The sequence below is a fragment of the Homo sapiens genome, chromosome 4, assembly GCF_000001405.40.
Source record: "Homo sapiens chromosome 4, GRCh38.p14 Primary Assembly".
In the NCBI taxonomy this organism is placed as follows: domain Eukaryota; kingdom Metazoa; phylum Chordata; class Mammalia; order Primates; family Hominidae; genus Homo; species Homo sapiens.
The window spans coordinates 9,717,879-9,733,302 of NC_000004.12; the positions used below are offsets into that span (position 1 = coordinate 9,717,879).

Sequence of the window (15,424 nt, forward strand, 5' to 3'; positions counted from 1 at the left end):
CATGCCTGCCTCTGGCTGTCGCCTTCCCTCTCCCCTTTCCTCCTGTCCCCTTCCTCTCCATCTCTTTTATGAGGCCTTCTTTGTTGTCCCATCTCTTTTTTGTATTTTTACTTTGCAGTAATTTTTTTTTTGTGGGGGGGAAAGGGGGTCTCGCTATGTTGTGCAGGCTGATCTTGAACTCCTGGCCTCGAGCTATCCTCCTGTCTTAGCCTCCTGAGTAGCTGGGATTACATGTGTGAGCCATCATACCCAGCTGTTGTCCCATCTCCTAAATGTCTGCTTTCCCCAGCATCCCTGCCCACAGTTCCGGCCTCAGTAGCCCCTCCTGAGCCTCATTCACCACCTATGCTGATGAACTGCTGCTCGCCCTCCTCCCAGGCAGGTTGCCCCATGGCCACTGAAGGCTCAGCCCATCCACAACAGATTCACAAAGCCTGTCCTTCAATGCTGGATTTCCTAGATTTCCCAGCCAACAGTCCCACCAGCTTAAAACCCTGCAGCCATGCCTAAATCCTCTATCTTCCTGTACCCCACATCCCCACGACCAACCCCTGCTGATTTAATGGCTAAATCCCTCTCTTGACAGTCAGGACCAGCTGCAGAATTTGCAAGGTCCAGTGCAAGATGAAAACATGGGCCCCCTTATTCAAAAATCAGAGGAAAAGCACTGCTGAAGTATTAACATATACAGCATTTTCTTTCCTCTGTGGTCTCTGTGTCTCAATTTATCATGATGCTTTCATTTGTTATTTAATGTCCTTCTAAGTAAAAAAAAAAAAAATAACATTTTAAATTACCAGCATGGATTATACTGTTCCTCTTTATATTGTGCAATGCCAGATTTCAACAGGAACATTGGACTCAAATGTGGAATCACAGAAATGACATAATTTGTACTTTGCATGTGGGATTTTTTTGCCTCACAGAAACAGTGAGATGTTGCAGGAAACTAATTCAGCTGTTTTTGTTTGTTTGTTTGTTTGTTTTTATTTTTTTCCCTGAGACAGAGTCTTGCTCTCTTGCCCAGGCTGGAGTGCAGTGGTGAGATCTCTGCTCACTGCAACCTCTGCCTCCCGGGTTCAGACCATTTTCCTGCCTTCAGCCTCCTGAGTAGCTGGGATTACAGGAGCCCGCCAACATACCCTCCTATTTTTTGTATTTTTAATAGAGTCGGGGTTTTGCCATGTTGGCCAGGCTGGTCTCGAACTCCTGACCTTGTGATCCACCCACCTCGGCCTCCTAAAATGCTGGGATTACAGACATGAGCCACCACACTCGCCATTCAGCTGTTTTTATTTCACTTTTTCACACCTATACAATCTACCACCACTCTCTACCTTTGGCTTACTGATGTGTAAGGAAGAATTGAAAGGAAAAATAACTATGACTCTGCTATCTTTGCTTCTCCTGTGTCATCATTTCCAGTGGAAGTGGCTGGCTACTACAGGGAATCAGATGGGTAGAAAAGGCTGGGAGAGGGTTCCTTGTTTGTTCCTGTTTCTTAGAATGCCATTGACTTGGTTTTCAATTCTGATTCTATAATAAGAGAAAGCGTGACCTCTTAGTGCTGTCAGCATGTCTCACGGACTCCGTTGTGGACATAGTAGGCTTCCCTTATGCTAACTTGGAGCCTTGCTGGACTCCCATGCACTGCGGGCCCCCCAAGATTCTATGCTCAGGGCACAGCAGACACGCCATGGGGAGTGCAGTGGCAAGGGATGGGGGTAACTCTTATTGTTGGTGTCTCATCTGCCCATGCACATGTTCTATTGCCCATTGGATTTCACTGATAAAACATAGATTCAGACTGGGTGCAGTGGCTCACGTCTGTAATCCCAGCATTTTGGGAGGCTGAGGTGGGCAGATCACTTGAGGTCAGGAGTTCAAGACCAGCCTGGCCAATATGGTGAAACCCACTCTCTACTAAAAATACAAAAATTAACCAGGCGTGCTGGCAGGTGGCTGTAGTCCCAGCTACTTGGGAGGCTGAGGCAGGAGAATCACTTGAGCCTGGGAGGTGGAGATCTCAGTGAGCTGAGATGGTGCCAGTACACTCCAGCCTGGGTGACAGAGCAAGACTCTTTCTCAAAACAAAACAAAACATAGACTCAAAGATAAAATGAGGAGGAATTTTAAGACGGTAACAGCAAAGCATTAAGCCAAGCTCAGGGTCCCTCTCAGCATGGGGCCCTGTGTGACTGCACAGGCCAAACACCCATGAATTCATCTCAATTTCCATCCCTCTTACACTCTTCCCCACTGCTGTGGTCTCAGGTGGCACCTTCCTCATTTCTACTCCGGAGTACTGCCTGTACCCTGATTTCTTCAAGGGTCTCTCCAGTCCATCAGACGCAGGCCAACCCAGGGTTTCTCTGCATTGCAATCCAACCAATATCACCCCCCTGCTTACCAGCCTGCAGTAACTCCCATGTCCCTTCAGGATAAAATTCAGACTTCTTAGCAAGGCACTGCTTATTTCTCCAGCCTCTGTGACAGCCTCACACCCTACATTCGAGCTCTGCTGATCCTGGAGAAGCTCCCTCTGAGCTTTTGCACACCTGTCCCTGCTACTTGAGGGTGATTTCCACCTGGTTACCTCCTGACATCACCTCCCACCTGGAAGCCTTCCTCGTCTCTGGGGTGGGTCAGATGTAGCTGTTTTTGCCCTCTCCCTACAGACCCTGCATTTCCTCTCTCCCAGCGTTCATCTTGTGATATACAATAAGCAATTGACTAAATTGTCCTTAAAACCAGGGCCATACCAGGTCTTCTTGGTGACAAATGAGGGAGCAGCGAGTGCTTTTGCCCTCTAATGGCATCTCTGGATCACTAGCTGGAGGCCTTGGGACTCTAAGCACCAAGTTATTCAAGTGCTACAAATAAGACTGCATGGACCCCGGTCTTTCCTGTTTCCTCTCTGCGTCTATCAAGAAGGAGCAGCTGCTTTTTGAAGCCCTGCTTTCCTTCTCACGGCTTTGCTCACCCCCACCCTGCTTGGCCTCCAAACTCAGAGCCTTAACTTTCCTATAAATACAGTTTCTCTCCAACTCAACTTGATTCATTCATTCAGGGTCCTAGTTCTCTCTCTCTGCCATTCCAATTCTCCTCTTTCCATTATATTTAAGAGAACCCTGGCTGGGCATGGTGGCTCACACCTGTAATCCCAGCACTTTGGGAGGCCAAGGCAAGTGGATCACCTGAGGTCAGGAGTTTGAGACCAGCCTGGCCAATATGGTGAAACCCCATCTCTACCAAAAAACAAAAATTGGCTGGGTGTGGCGGCACAGGCCTGTAGTCCCAGCTACTCGGGAGGCTGAGGCAGGAGAATCGCTTGAACCTGAGAGGCAGAGGTTGCAATCACACCACTGCACTCCAGCTTGGTTGACAGAGTGAGACTCTGTCTCAAAAAAAAAACCAAAACGACCAAGAAAAGGGCATTCATTTATGGTATAAGAGCGGAAACCAAAAGGCAGAGGTTCCTCGATGGAGCTCTGCTGGGACCGTGCATATCAGCCATTCAACCTCTTCAGCACTTGGTGCACATCCAGGAAAGCCCCACTGGGATTGATTTAGGGGCTATAAAGAAACATTATCAAGCAGGTGAATTTGCAGCTACAGAATCTGCAGGTAATGAGGATTGATTGTAGATGCACCAATGAACTGGAGGTCAGATTTTCAACTGAACCGTCCAGGAGATGGCCAGCAACCAAGAGCTAGAAAAAAAGATTCCTGGAGAGTGGTGAAGAAAATAGAAGTCTTAGAGGCTCAGAGACAGATGAAGGTAATCCCTCAGCTGTCACCTGAGCTGTGGCTATAAAATGAGGCAACAGATTAAGAATAGTAAGCATAAGATTGAGGCCAGGCTCGGTAGCTCATGCCTGTAATCCTAGCACTTTGGGAGGCCAAGGCAGGTGGATCATTTGAGGTTGGGAGTTAGAGACCAGCCTGGCCAACATGGTGAAACTCCATCTGTACTAAAAATACAAAAAAAATTAGCCAGGCGTGGTGGCACATGCCTGTAATCCTAGCTACTCGGGAGGCCAAGGCAGGAGAATCGCTTGAACTGGGGAGGCAGAGGTTGCAGTGAGCTGAGATCTCACCACAGCACTCCAGCCTGGGCAACAGAGCAAGACTACATCTCAAAAAAAAAAGAAAAAAGAAAAAGAAAAAAAAGATTGGGGCAGTCAGAAGCAACCACCGTCAGCAAAGGAAGGATGAGGGGGAGTGAATAAAGGGTCCACAGGAGAATTAAGAAAGCGTGGACCCTTGGGGCCATTCAGTGAAGCGGAGCCAGGTCACTGGCGAGTGTGTCTGGGAATCAATTAAGGATGAATATGAAGCTTGAGACCAGGCCAGCATAATCACCATGTGGGCGCCCGTATTTTTTTACATTTGCTGACTGTGTTTCTGTGAAATACAAAGGAAGAAATGCTGTGACTTCCCCTCATTCTAAGGTGAAACCAAAGAAGGCGAAACTGAGAGACCTGTCCGAAGTCCTCCACCGAGCCAATGGGGAGGCTGGAATAGATACAGCCGGTCACCCGACCTGTTCTCTAGGCACGGCTTTTTGGATTTGCCACTTACATCTGCTTCAAGTTTTAGAAACTTCCAGGCTGTGGCTTTTTTGCTGCTTTGGGGAACAAAGCATGTTCGGTCAAGTGTACAGCAAACCTGTCCTGCTCCTAAATCCAATCATCTCCAAAATAGATGTTTGACGTTTATAGTGCTACTCTCCAAATGTCATTATCATCCCTAAAGTGAAAAAAAAGGTTTAATTATTATGAGCAGTGAAATTACCATATAATCTTCCAATTAACTGAATAAGGCACCAAATAAGTGCCCTCAAGCCTTAATTTCTACCTTGAAGTTAAGGTAGATGTCATGATTACCTGGATCATCCTACACATCCTCAAAGTGGACAGAGTTGAAAGGCTGTCTAAGCGGGCGGGGTGGAAGGCGGTGCCCTTCTCCCTCTTGTCTGTTTGTCGAGCTCTGTTGGTTCTCCTAATTGGTTAGCGACCCTGAGTGTTTCTGAGAGCCTTTTGTTGTATGCCGGGGCAGAACCACTAATCTGGCCAATTCCAAGCAGAAAAGATCAAGTATAGATTTCATATCTGAGTTTTAAGTGCTAGTAAAAAGTTGCATTAAGTTGTCAAATGCACTGCGATCCTGGCTTCATCACCAAGTGGCTCTGCAGTTTGAGGATTATGCTGCATCCTGAAGAAAAGAAAATTGTTCCGTTTAGATGTTTGGGGTAAAGGGGGATTGATCCAGTTACTTTTCAACTAATCTAAGTCAGATGGTGTTCACTGCATAACTTTCTAAGGTTGGTACTTGGCCAAGCAACAAGGTGATCAGTTTTATAGGACTAAAGGCCTTTGGTTGCAAAGGCATGAAGAAGTTTCTACCAGTCCTGTTTGAAATAAAATAGTAGTGTAATCTAAAGATTGTAATACAAGACCAACACAGCAGATTTACAGTAACTTTTGATAATTGGTTGACTGATGTGCTTCTCTCTCTCTCTCTTTCCGTAGACGTGTGAGTAGCATATTACATAGAGAAATCTATAAGCCCTGGGTTATGTTGGTTGCTGATGAGGATTAATCAGAAGCTACTACTCACTTATTCACCTTTGATCTGCTCTTGTTCTGGTAGTCTTCTTCACTGTCTCATTCATTCAAGAAGTGTTCATTGGGCTGGGTGCGGTGGTTCACACCTGTAATCCCAGCACTTCGGGAGGCTGAGGTGGGTGGATCATGAGGTCAGGAGTTTGAGACCAACCTGGCCAACATGGTGAAACCCCATCTCTACTAAAAATACAAAAATTAGCTGGGCCTGGTGGCATGCGCCTGTAATCCCAGCTACTTGGGAGGAAGAGACAGGAGAATTGCTTGAATCTGGGAGGCAGAGGTTGCAGTGAGCTGAGATTGCACCACTGCACTGCAGCCTGGGTGACAAAGCAAGACTCCGTCTCGGGAAAAAAAAAAAAAATTTCATGGTCATGTCAGCATCCTCCCCACCCCCTCTTCCCCAGATCAACCAAAAAAATGGAGAAAAATCTGGAAGGCCACTCCTTTAGACCACTCATGCTAAGTATGAGTGCACACTCACAAAGCGTGCAAGCCAGCTATATTAGTTCATTCTTGCATTGCTATAAAGAAATATCTGAGAGTGGGTAATTTACTCTTGATCTTAGCCAAAAGGCTGAGAAGCAATGGGATTGTGTAATTTACAAGGAAAGAGGTTGAATTGGCTCACTGTTCTGCAGACTGTATGGGAAGCATAGCAGCTTCTGCTTCTGGTGAGGCCTCAGGAAGCTTCCAATCATGGCAGAAGATGAAGGAGGAGCAGTTGTTCTCTTACATGGCAGGAGCAGGAGCCAGAGAGAATGACTGGGGGAGGTGCTGTGCACTTTTTTTTTTTTTTTTTTGAGATAGAGTCTTTCTCTGTCATCCAAGCTGGAGTGCAATAGTGTGATCTTGGCTCACTGCAAGATCACAGTGATCTTGGCTCTGCCTCCTGAGCTCAAGTGATTCTCCTGCCTCAGCCTCCCAAGTCGCTGGGATTACAGGCACCCACAACCACGCTGGCTACTTTTTGTATTTTTACTAGAGATGGGGTTTTGCCATATTGGCCAGGCTGGTCTTGAACTCCTGACCTCAGGTGATCCACCCACCTCAGCCTTTCAAAATGCTGGGATTACAGGCATCAGCCACCATGCCCGGCCCAACACACTTTTAAATGACCAGATCTCACAAGAACTCACTTACTATCGTGAGTACAATACCAAAGAGAATAGTGCTAAACCATCCATGGGAAACCTGCCCCCATGATCCAACTGCCTACCACCAGGCCCCAGCTCCAACACTGGGGATTACAATTCAACACACAATTTGGTGGAGATACAGATCCAAACTCTATCACCAGCCCTTCTGCTTTCACCTCCCCCGTTTTAGACAACCAGCGTTTGAATTGCCTGTTCCAATTCTGTGCCAAATTATGACTCTGAAGAGGATGCCTCTCTGCCCATTGTTGGACATTATGGGCTGTACAGAGTGCTCTTTTTTCTGAAGCAATGACGTTGGCCATCAAGATTCATGCAGTATCTCCTGTTCTGTTTTTTTTTTTTTAATTTTTTTTTTTGAGACAGAGTCTCCCTCTGTCTCCCAGGCTAGAGTGCAATGGCATGATCTCGGCTCACTGCAACCTCCGCCTCCTGGGTTCAGGTGATTCTTCCACCTCAGGCTCCCAAGTAGCTGGGATTGGCTAATTTTTTTGTATTTTTGTAGTGACGGGTTGTCACCATGTTTGCCAGGCTGGTCTTGAACTCCTGACCTCAGGTGACCTGCCCGCCTCAGCCTCACAAAGTGCTGGGATTACAGGCATGAGCCACCATGCCTGGCCCTTTTTCTTTTTTTTAATGGCACTCTGAGTGTTTGCATCTTCTACCACACAAACAAAGCCCAGTCCGGAGACAGTGTCTATTCCTGTCAAGACCTAGATGCAGCCCCCCAGGGCTGCCAGCATCCATCTCACTTGCCACTTATGTTAAGAGCTTTCCCACCAGGGAATGTACCTCGCAGCCATGGGCAGTCTCTCTTTCTCTTGCTGGCAGACAGAACAGTTCTTTTTTTTTTTTGAGACGTTGTTCCACTCTTGTTGCCCAGGCTGGAGTCCAATGGCATCATCTCGGCTCACCGCAACCTCCGCCTCCTGGGTACAAGCAATTCTCCTGCCTCAGCTGGGATTATAGGCATGCACCACCAAGCCCCGGTAATTTTGTATTTTTAGTAGAGATGGGGTTTCTCCATGTCGGTCAGGCTGGTCTCGAACTCCCAAACTCAGGTGATCCATCTGCCTCGGCCTCTCAAAGTGCTGGAACTACAGGCTTGAGCCACCGCACCCAGCGACAGAACAGTTCTTATTGGCATTTTGAGCCCGAGGGGCATGGCTAGATTCAGCCCATCTCTGCACTGCTGCAGAACCGCCTTGTTCACTCATTTCACGGACCCAGGCGACCACCTCAAAGGAGCACACAAAAAAAATCCACTTGGTGACTCCAGCCACCTCCAGAGACTGGAAGGGAGTTTTTCTGATGGGCGTGAACCTGTTCTACCTCAAGGCATCTTTCACCTCTCCACAGGGCTGTGCCCCATATGGACATCCCGTTAATAAGCCAGGTGGCTATTGTCCTCTTGCCTGAGTGTACAGCCAAGACACTGGTCACTGCCCAGGAGTCAGTAAAAACCCAAACAGGGGGCTTCTACCACTGTTCAACTGATCAAATATATATTTCACAATATCACACTCCTGTGGAACACTTTGGGACACATACTATGATTCTTTGAAAATCAGTTATTGCCATCATTCTAGTATAAATCAGCAGCTAGAAAAAGAGCATGCAATTCAGCTCACTGAGCTGACTGATTTTTACCATCTTTAGCCAGAGTAGCAGCTGTCCAAACAGGATGTTGTTTGTTCACCTCGAAATTGTCATCCATAGACCAAACAGCTGGGGGTGAGTGAGTTGAGAGCTGGTTATATAGGGCACTGTTGAACTGCTGATAGAATCCAGCAGCTCCTCACTCTTCCAGAGTCAGTCGTAGGAGAAAAGAGCCTCCCTGCTTGGGAATATCTCCTCCCTGCATTCCCCAGGTAGCATGATCCAGTATAAACCATTTCCATTTTATTATGTTGCTTTCTTTCTTTTTTTTTTTTTTTATCTGAGATGGAGTCTTGCTCTTGTTGCCCAGGCTGGAGTGCAATGGTGCGATCTCGGCTCACTGCAACCTCCGCCTCTCAGGTTCAAGCTATTCTCCTGCCTCAGCCTCCTGAGTAGCTGGGATTACAGGCATCCGCCAGCATGCCCAGCTAATTTTTTGTGTTTTTAGTAGAGACAGAGTTTCACCATATTGGCCAGGCTGGCCTTGAACTCCTGATCTCAGGTGATCCACCCACCTCGGTCTCCCAAAGTGCTGGGATTACAGGTGTGAGCCACTGCACTCAGCCACCTTCCTCCTTTTAAGGACGCTTGTGATTCTATAAACTCCTTCCAGATAATCCAGGATGATCTCCCCCATTCAAAATCCTCAACTTACTCACATCTGCCAAGTCCCTTTTACCACGAATGTCTGGTAACATAATCACTGGTCCTGGGGATTAAGGCCTGTGGACATCTTTGGGGGCCGTTATTCTGCCTACCACATGGACCATCTTTGACTTTCTTAACTTCCATTCACTTTTCTTTTTTCTTTTTCTTTCTTTTTTTTTTTTTTTTTTGAGATGGAATTTTGCTCTTGCTGCCCAGGCTGGCGTGCAATGGTGCAATCTCAGCTCACTGCAACCTCTGCCTCCTAGATTCAAGTGATTCACCTGCCTCAGCCTCCCGAGTAACTGGGATTATAAACACCTGCCACCACACCCGGCTAATTTTGTATTTTTAGCAGAGATGGGGTTTTTCCATGTTAGTCAGGCTGGTCTTGAACTCTCGATCTCAGGTGATCCACCTGCCTCAGCCTCCCAAAGTGCTGGGATTACAAGCATGAGCCACCACACCTGGCCCCTCCACTCACTTTTCCACCTTTTCCAAACAAGCTTCTGTCCCCACCCCCCATTCCATATGGATTCAAAATGGTTCTTGATGGCCTCCATGTTGCTGAAACCATGGGGTTGTTCTAACTGTCCTTCTTCCTCAACTTCTGGCACTGTAGACCAAACAGCTTGAGGCATGGGCAGGCAGCCTGGAGGACCAGAGCATTTGGGCGATGGCTAGTCCTCATGAGCCTGTCCTGCTGTCACCCAGCAGCCCATCCTCGTGGGACAGAGGCTGGCTACAGAAGGCATTCCGCACCCACTTGCTCCATGAGTTACCCAAGGCTCCGTGTGCCTAGGCTTTCTTTATTGTTTAAAAGTGTAGGTCAGATAACTGCAGGTGAAGTTTTCTTAAACATTTTTGTTTACATATCCAAAGTGGATAACTGGGTGAGCTTTCACAAAGTAAAGCACATGCACACCATGCAGATCAAAGAACAGGGCATGTCCAGCTCTCCTGAGCTCCTCGTTCTCCCCTCCCTAACGCTAGCTCCTCTCCTCCCAAAGGTAATGCTATCCTGGGGATAGGGATTATTTTTTTTTCCTTTTAAATAGACTTAATGTGTTAGAGAAGTTCTAGGTTCATAGAAAAATGGAGCAGAGGCCAGGCCCTGTGGCTCACACCTGTAATCCCAGCACTTTGAGAGGCCGAGGTGGGCAGATCACGAGGTCAGGAGTTTGAGACCAACCTGACCAACATGATGATGAAACCCTGTCTATACTACAAATACAAAAAATTAGCCGGGCATGGTGGTGCATGCTTGTAATCCTAGATATTTGGGAGGCTGAGGCAGGACAATTGCTTGAACCTCGGAGGTGGAGGTTGCAGTGGGCTGAGATCTTACCACTGTATTCCAGCCTGGGTGACAAAGAAAGAAAAAAAGAAAGGAGAAAGAAAGAGAGAGAGAGAGAGAAACAAAGGAGGGAGGGAGGGAGGGAGGGAGGGAAGGAAGGAAGGAAGGAAGGAAGGAAGGAAGGAAGGGAGGAAAGAAGGAAGGAAGGAAAGAAGGAAGGAAGGAAGGAAGGGAAAAGGAAAGAAACAGAAAAGAAAAGAAAGAAAAACGGAGCAGAAAGTGCAGAGTTTTCATCAACATCTACTCCCACCTGCCACACACACACACACACACACACACACGCAGCTTCCCCCACTAGCAATATCAAACCTGAGTGGGATATTTGTCATAATCAATAAACCTACATTGACACATCACTATCACCCAGAGTCCATAGTTTACATGAGGGCTCACTCTTGGTGTTGTACATTGCGTGGGTTTGGACATATGGACAACTACGTGGATCCACCATTGTAGTATCACGCAGAGTAGTTTCACTGCCCTAAAAATCCTCTGTGTTTCACCAATTCATTCCTCCTTTCTCCTGACCTCAGGCAACCGTGGATATTTTCGCTGTCTCTATAGTTTTGCTTTATCCAGAATGTCATATAGTTGGAATCATACAGTGCGCAGCCTTTTCGGATGGACTTCGTTCACTTAGGAATATGCATTTAAGGTTTCTCCATGTCTTTTTGTGGTTTCATAGCTCATTTCATTTTAGTGCTAAGTAACATTCCATTGTCTGGAAGTGGGCCTAGGTTTCTTTGTTTTTTATTGTTGTTGTTGTTGTTGATGTTTTTTGAGATGGGGTTTTGCTCTGTTTCCCTGGCTGGAGTGCAGTGGCACAATCTCAGCTCACTGCAGCCTCCACCTCCAGGGTTCAAGCAATTTCCCCACCTCAGCCTCCAGCGTAGCTGGAATTACAGGGGCGTGCCACCACACCTGGCTAATTTTTTTCATTTTTAGTAGAGATGGAATTTCACCATGTTGGCCAAGCTGGTCTCGAACTCCTGACGTCAGGTGACCCATCCGCCTCAGCCTCCCAAAGTGTTGGGAATACAGATGTGAGCCACCACACCTGTCCAGGCCTAGGTTTTTGAAGAAGGAATTGAACTGAGTGTAGGCCAGGTTATACTGCTAAAGTGTCTTCTTTGTACTTGGAATGTGCTAGGATGGATAGACTTCAAAGTGCAAAGTGCCTGAAGGATCTGGCATTAGTCAATTCTATGCACTGAGCTTCTGTCCCCAGAATCCCACTCTCAGAGGAAGAATATGGTAAGGCTGGTTGGATAGGTGGGGCATGGATGGGAGGCTCAGGCCACTGCACTGCACATACAGGTCTTGATGAGGTCTGGCAGAGGTCAAGTTCTGTTTAGCGGGGATAGACTATGTGACAGAGTGAAGAAAGGTAATGGTCTAAAAGCAGCAAAAGTTTCATTCCCACTCATGTGACAGTCTGTGGAGCAGGCAGCTCCTTTCCTCATGAAGCTGGGACCCAGGTATCTTCCATCTTGTGGCTCTGCTTCTCCAGAGCCTTGTCATTTTTTTCATCTAGCTATGGTGACAAGATCTTTTGGATGAGCCATGAATATTAAACTAAAGGCAAACTCTGAAAATTGATTTGACGTGTGGTCAGCTGCTCATTTAGCACAGTGTGGGGAATGCTGGGGTGATGGACAAGAAGGTTTTCATGAGGAGGCTGAAGAGACCTAAGTATAGGGGTACCAGCCTGGGGCACTTCAGAAGGGGCACTGGCCTAGGGGTAGCATCAGGGTGATCCTGATTTCCCTGGGGCAGGGTGTGGCTCATGACAGGGTACTGAGAACCCACCAAGAAGGCTGGAACTTTCAGTACTCATTGTTTTATGAGGGCCTGCCTGTGTGCCAGGCGGGAAGACACTGACCAGAGGCCCAGGGCCACTGAAGGGTCTCGGCCTGGTCTCTTGTTGCCTGGGGGGTTCACTGTACAAGTGATGATGTAGTTCCAAGGGGCAGGATTCTGACCCACACTCCTGGTGCCAATGTCCATTTTGCCACTCATGTTAGATTTTGCTTCTCTAAGGGAACTTACTCAGGATAGCTGCGTTCTTGGACATTCTTCCAGTGGTTTTCAAGGGTGAAAAAAGGAGTTTCAGCAAGACAGCTAACGTCTGGATGAGCGAGCCAGGAAGTGTCTGTAGCCTTCCTCTAGAGAGCACTCTGGGCTGGTGGGCGTAAGGACCCCAGATTCATGTGCGTCCATGTGAAGAGACCACCAAACAGGCTTTGTGTGAGCAACATGGCTGTTTATTTCACCTGGGTGCAGGCGGGCTGAGTCTGAAAGAGAGTCAGTGAAGGGAGATGGGGTGGGACCGTTTTATAGGATTTGGGTAGGTAAGGGAAAATTACAGTCAAAGGGGCGTTGTTCTCTGGCGGGCAGAGTGGGGGTCACAAGGTACTCAGTGGGGGAGGTTTTGAGCCAGGATGAGCCAGGAGAAGGAATTTCACAAGACAATGTCATCAGTTAAGGCAGGAACAGGCCATTTTCATTTCTTTTGTGGAGGAATGTCATCAGTTAAGGCAGGAACCAGCCACCTGGATGTGTACGTGCAGGTCACAGGTGATATGATGGCTTAGCTTGGGCTCAGAGGCCTGACACCCAGGGCAGGCTGGCTCAGCCCCTTTGACTTCAGATTTCAGGGAAGGCCAGGGAGCTGGATTGGGTGCCTGGATTTTCTGAGAATTATGTTTCTCAGAGGATTTTGAAACCTAAACAGGAATACTTTACACACAGGCCATCAAGCAGGAACTGGGAAGTTCCGAAGCCGCCCTCTTTCAGGCCACCTCCTCCCTTCAGAGGCCAAGGGTGGCCAAGCTGTCTCCCACACACCTCAGTGAAAAGTCACTGGCTCTCCTCCCAGCCACCTCGCTGTGACCTTGTGAGGTGTGAGAAGGAGGAAGGGGATCTACGTTCTGGATGAGCCTCCTTCCTCCTTGCCGAGAAATAATTTAGGCCCCTGCACCTGCTGGGCCTCAGACCTTCTCAGAGCCCAGGGCCCACTGTGGCTCCTGCAAGCTGCCTGGGAATTCCACGGAGGCTGCCTGGCTGCCTGTCTTATTCCCAGTCTGCTGCAACCCATTTCCTAAGCTTGGGTGGCTGAAAACAACAGAAATTCATCCTCTCACAGTTCTGGAGGCCAGAGTCTGAATCCAGGTGTTGGCAGGGCTGTGCTGCCTTTGAAGGTTCTAGGGAAGAATCCTTCCTGACTTTTTCCAGTTTTGGGTGGTGGCCGGCAATGCGCGGCATTCCTTGGCTTCAGATGCATCATTCCAGATGCACACGGCTGTCTTCCCTCTGTGTCTCTTCTTTTCTTCTTATAAGGATACCAGTCATATGGTGTGAAGGGCCCACCTTACTCCAGTATGTGGCCAAGTTAATTCATTACATCTGCAACCACCCAATTTACAAATGTCACATTCTGAGGTTCCTGATTGAAGGGGTGGGTTGCCCCTCCACACCTGTGGGTGTTTCTCCTTACATGGAATGAGAGACCTGGAAAAGAAAGAGACACAGAGACAAAGTATAGAGAAAGAAAATAGGGCCCAGGGGAAGGGCGTTCAGCATACGGAGGACCCATGCCGGTACCAGCCTCTGAGTTCCCTTAGTATTTATTGATCATTATCAGGCGTTTCCCGGGGAGGGGGATTTGGCAGGACAATAGGGTAATAGCAGAGAGAAGGTCAGTAGGAAAACACGTGAACAAAGGTCTCTGCATCTTAAACAAGTTAAAGAATTAACTGCTGTGCTTCTGATGTGCATACACATAAACATCTTAATCCATTAAATAGCAGTATTGCTGCCAGCATGTCCCACCTCCAGCCCTAAGGTGGTTTTCCTTTATCTCAGTAGATGGAATATACAATCGGGCTTGATACCAAGATGTCCCATTGCCCAGGGACAAGCAGGAGACAGATGCCTTCCTTTTATCTCAACTGCAAAGAGGCCTTCCTCTTTCAATAATCCTCCCCAGCACAGACCCTTTATGGGTGTCCGGCTGGGGGACAGTCAGGTCTTTCCCTTCCCAGGAGGCCATATATCAGGCTATCACATGGGGAGAAACCTTGGACAATACCTGGCTTTCCCAGGCAGAGGTCCCTGTGGCCTTCCGCAGCGTTTTGTGTCTCTGGGTACTTGAGATTAGGGAGTGGTGATGACTCTTAACAAGCATGCTGCCTTCAAGCATTTGTTTAACAAAGCACACCCCGTACAGCCCTTAATCCATTTAACCCTGAGTTGACACAGCACATGTCTCAGGGAGCACAGGGTTGGGGGTAGGGTTACAGATTAACAGCATCTCAAGGCAGAAGAATTTTTCTTAGTACAGAACAAAATAGAGTCTCATGTCTGCTTTACTTGAAAAATCAGATCACACGTGGACTTGGAGAATGAATGCAAGATTTTATTGAGTGGAGGAGGTGGCTCTCAGATGGATGGGGAGCCAGAAGGGGGATGGAGAGGGAAGGTGGTCTTCCCCTAGAGTTGGGCTGCCTAGCAGCCAGACTCTCCTCCAACCGCCCCCAACTGAATTCCACATCTCCCCACTGTCAAAAGCCTGCCAGCATCTGCTGATGTCTGTCGGTGTGCTCTTCTGCTTCTCTGCTCCTCTGGATGTCCAGCCATTTGTGTCTGTGCCCACTAGGGTCTTGGGTTTTTTATGGGCACAGGATGGGGGTCATAGCAGGCCAGAGTAGTCTTGGAAAATGCAATATTTGGACATGAAAACAGGAGTGCCTGTTCTCACTAAGGTGCAAGGGCACAAGCCCAAGGGCAAAGCCCTCGCCAGGGACCCCACCCTTCTCTACCCAGCATTCCCCTGCCCCCCTTCCATATCAACATGAAAGCTGACGTTGGCTCCTGTGCCCCACCTCTGGGCCTGGTTTTGTGACCTCTGCACCAGAGCTGCTAGGGAGGCCCTACCCCACATGTTGTTAACTCAACAGCCCTTCCCCAGGGGAACCAAC

General features: G+C 48.0%; 1 annotated feature.

Annotated features, from left to right (window-relative positions):
* Window positions 14,251-15,038: an enhancer, noted in NCBI's record as "NANOG-H3K27ac hESC enhancer chr4:9733753-9734540 (GRCh37/hg19 assembly coordinates)". NCBI's record gives its function as "activates a minimal SCP1, AML or CMV promoter by ChIP-STARR-seq in naive and primed H9 embryonic stem cells {active_cell/tissue: H9 hESC(naive and primed)}" and the evidence as "EXISTENCE:reporter gene assay evidence [ECO:0000049][PMID:30033119]".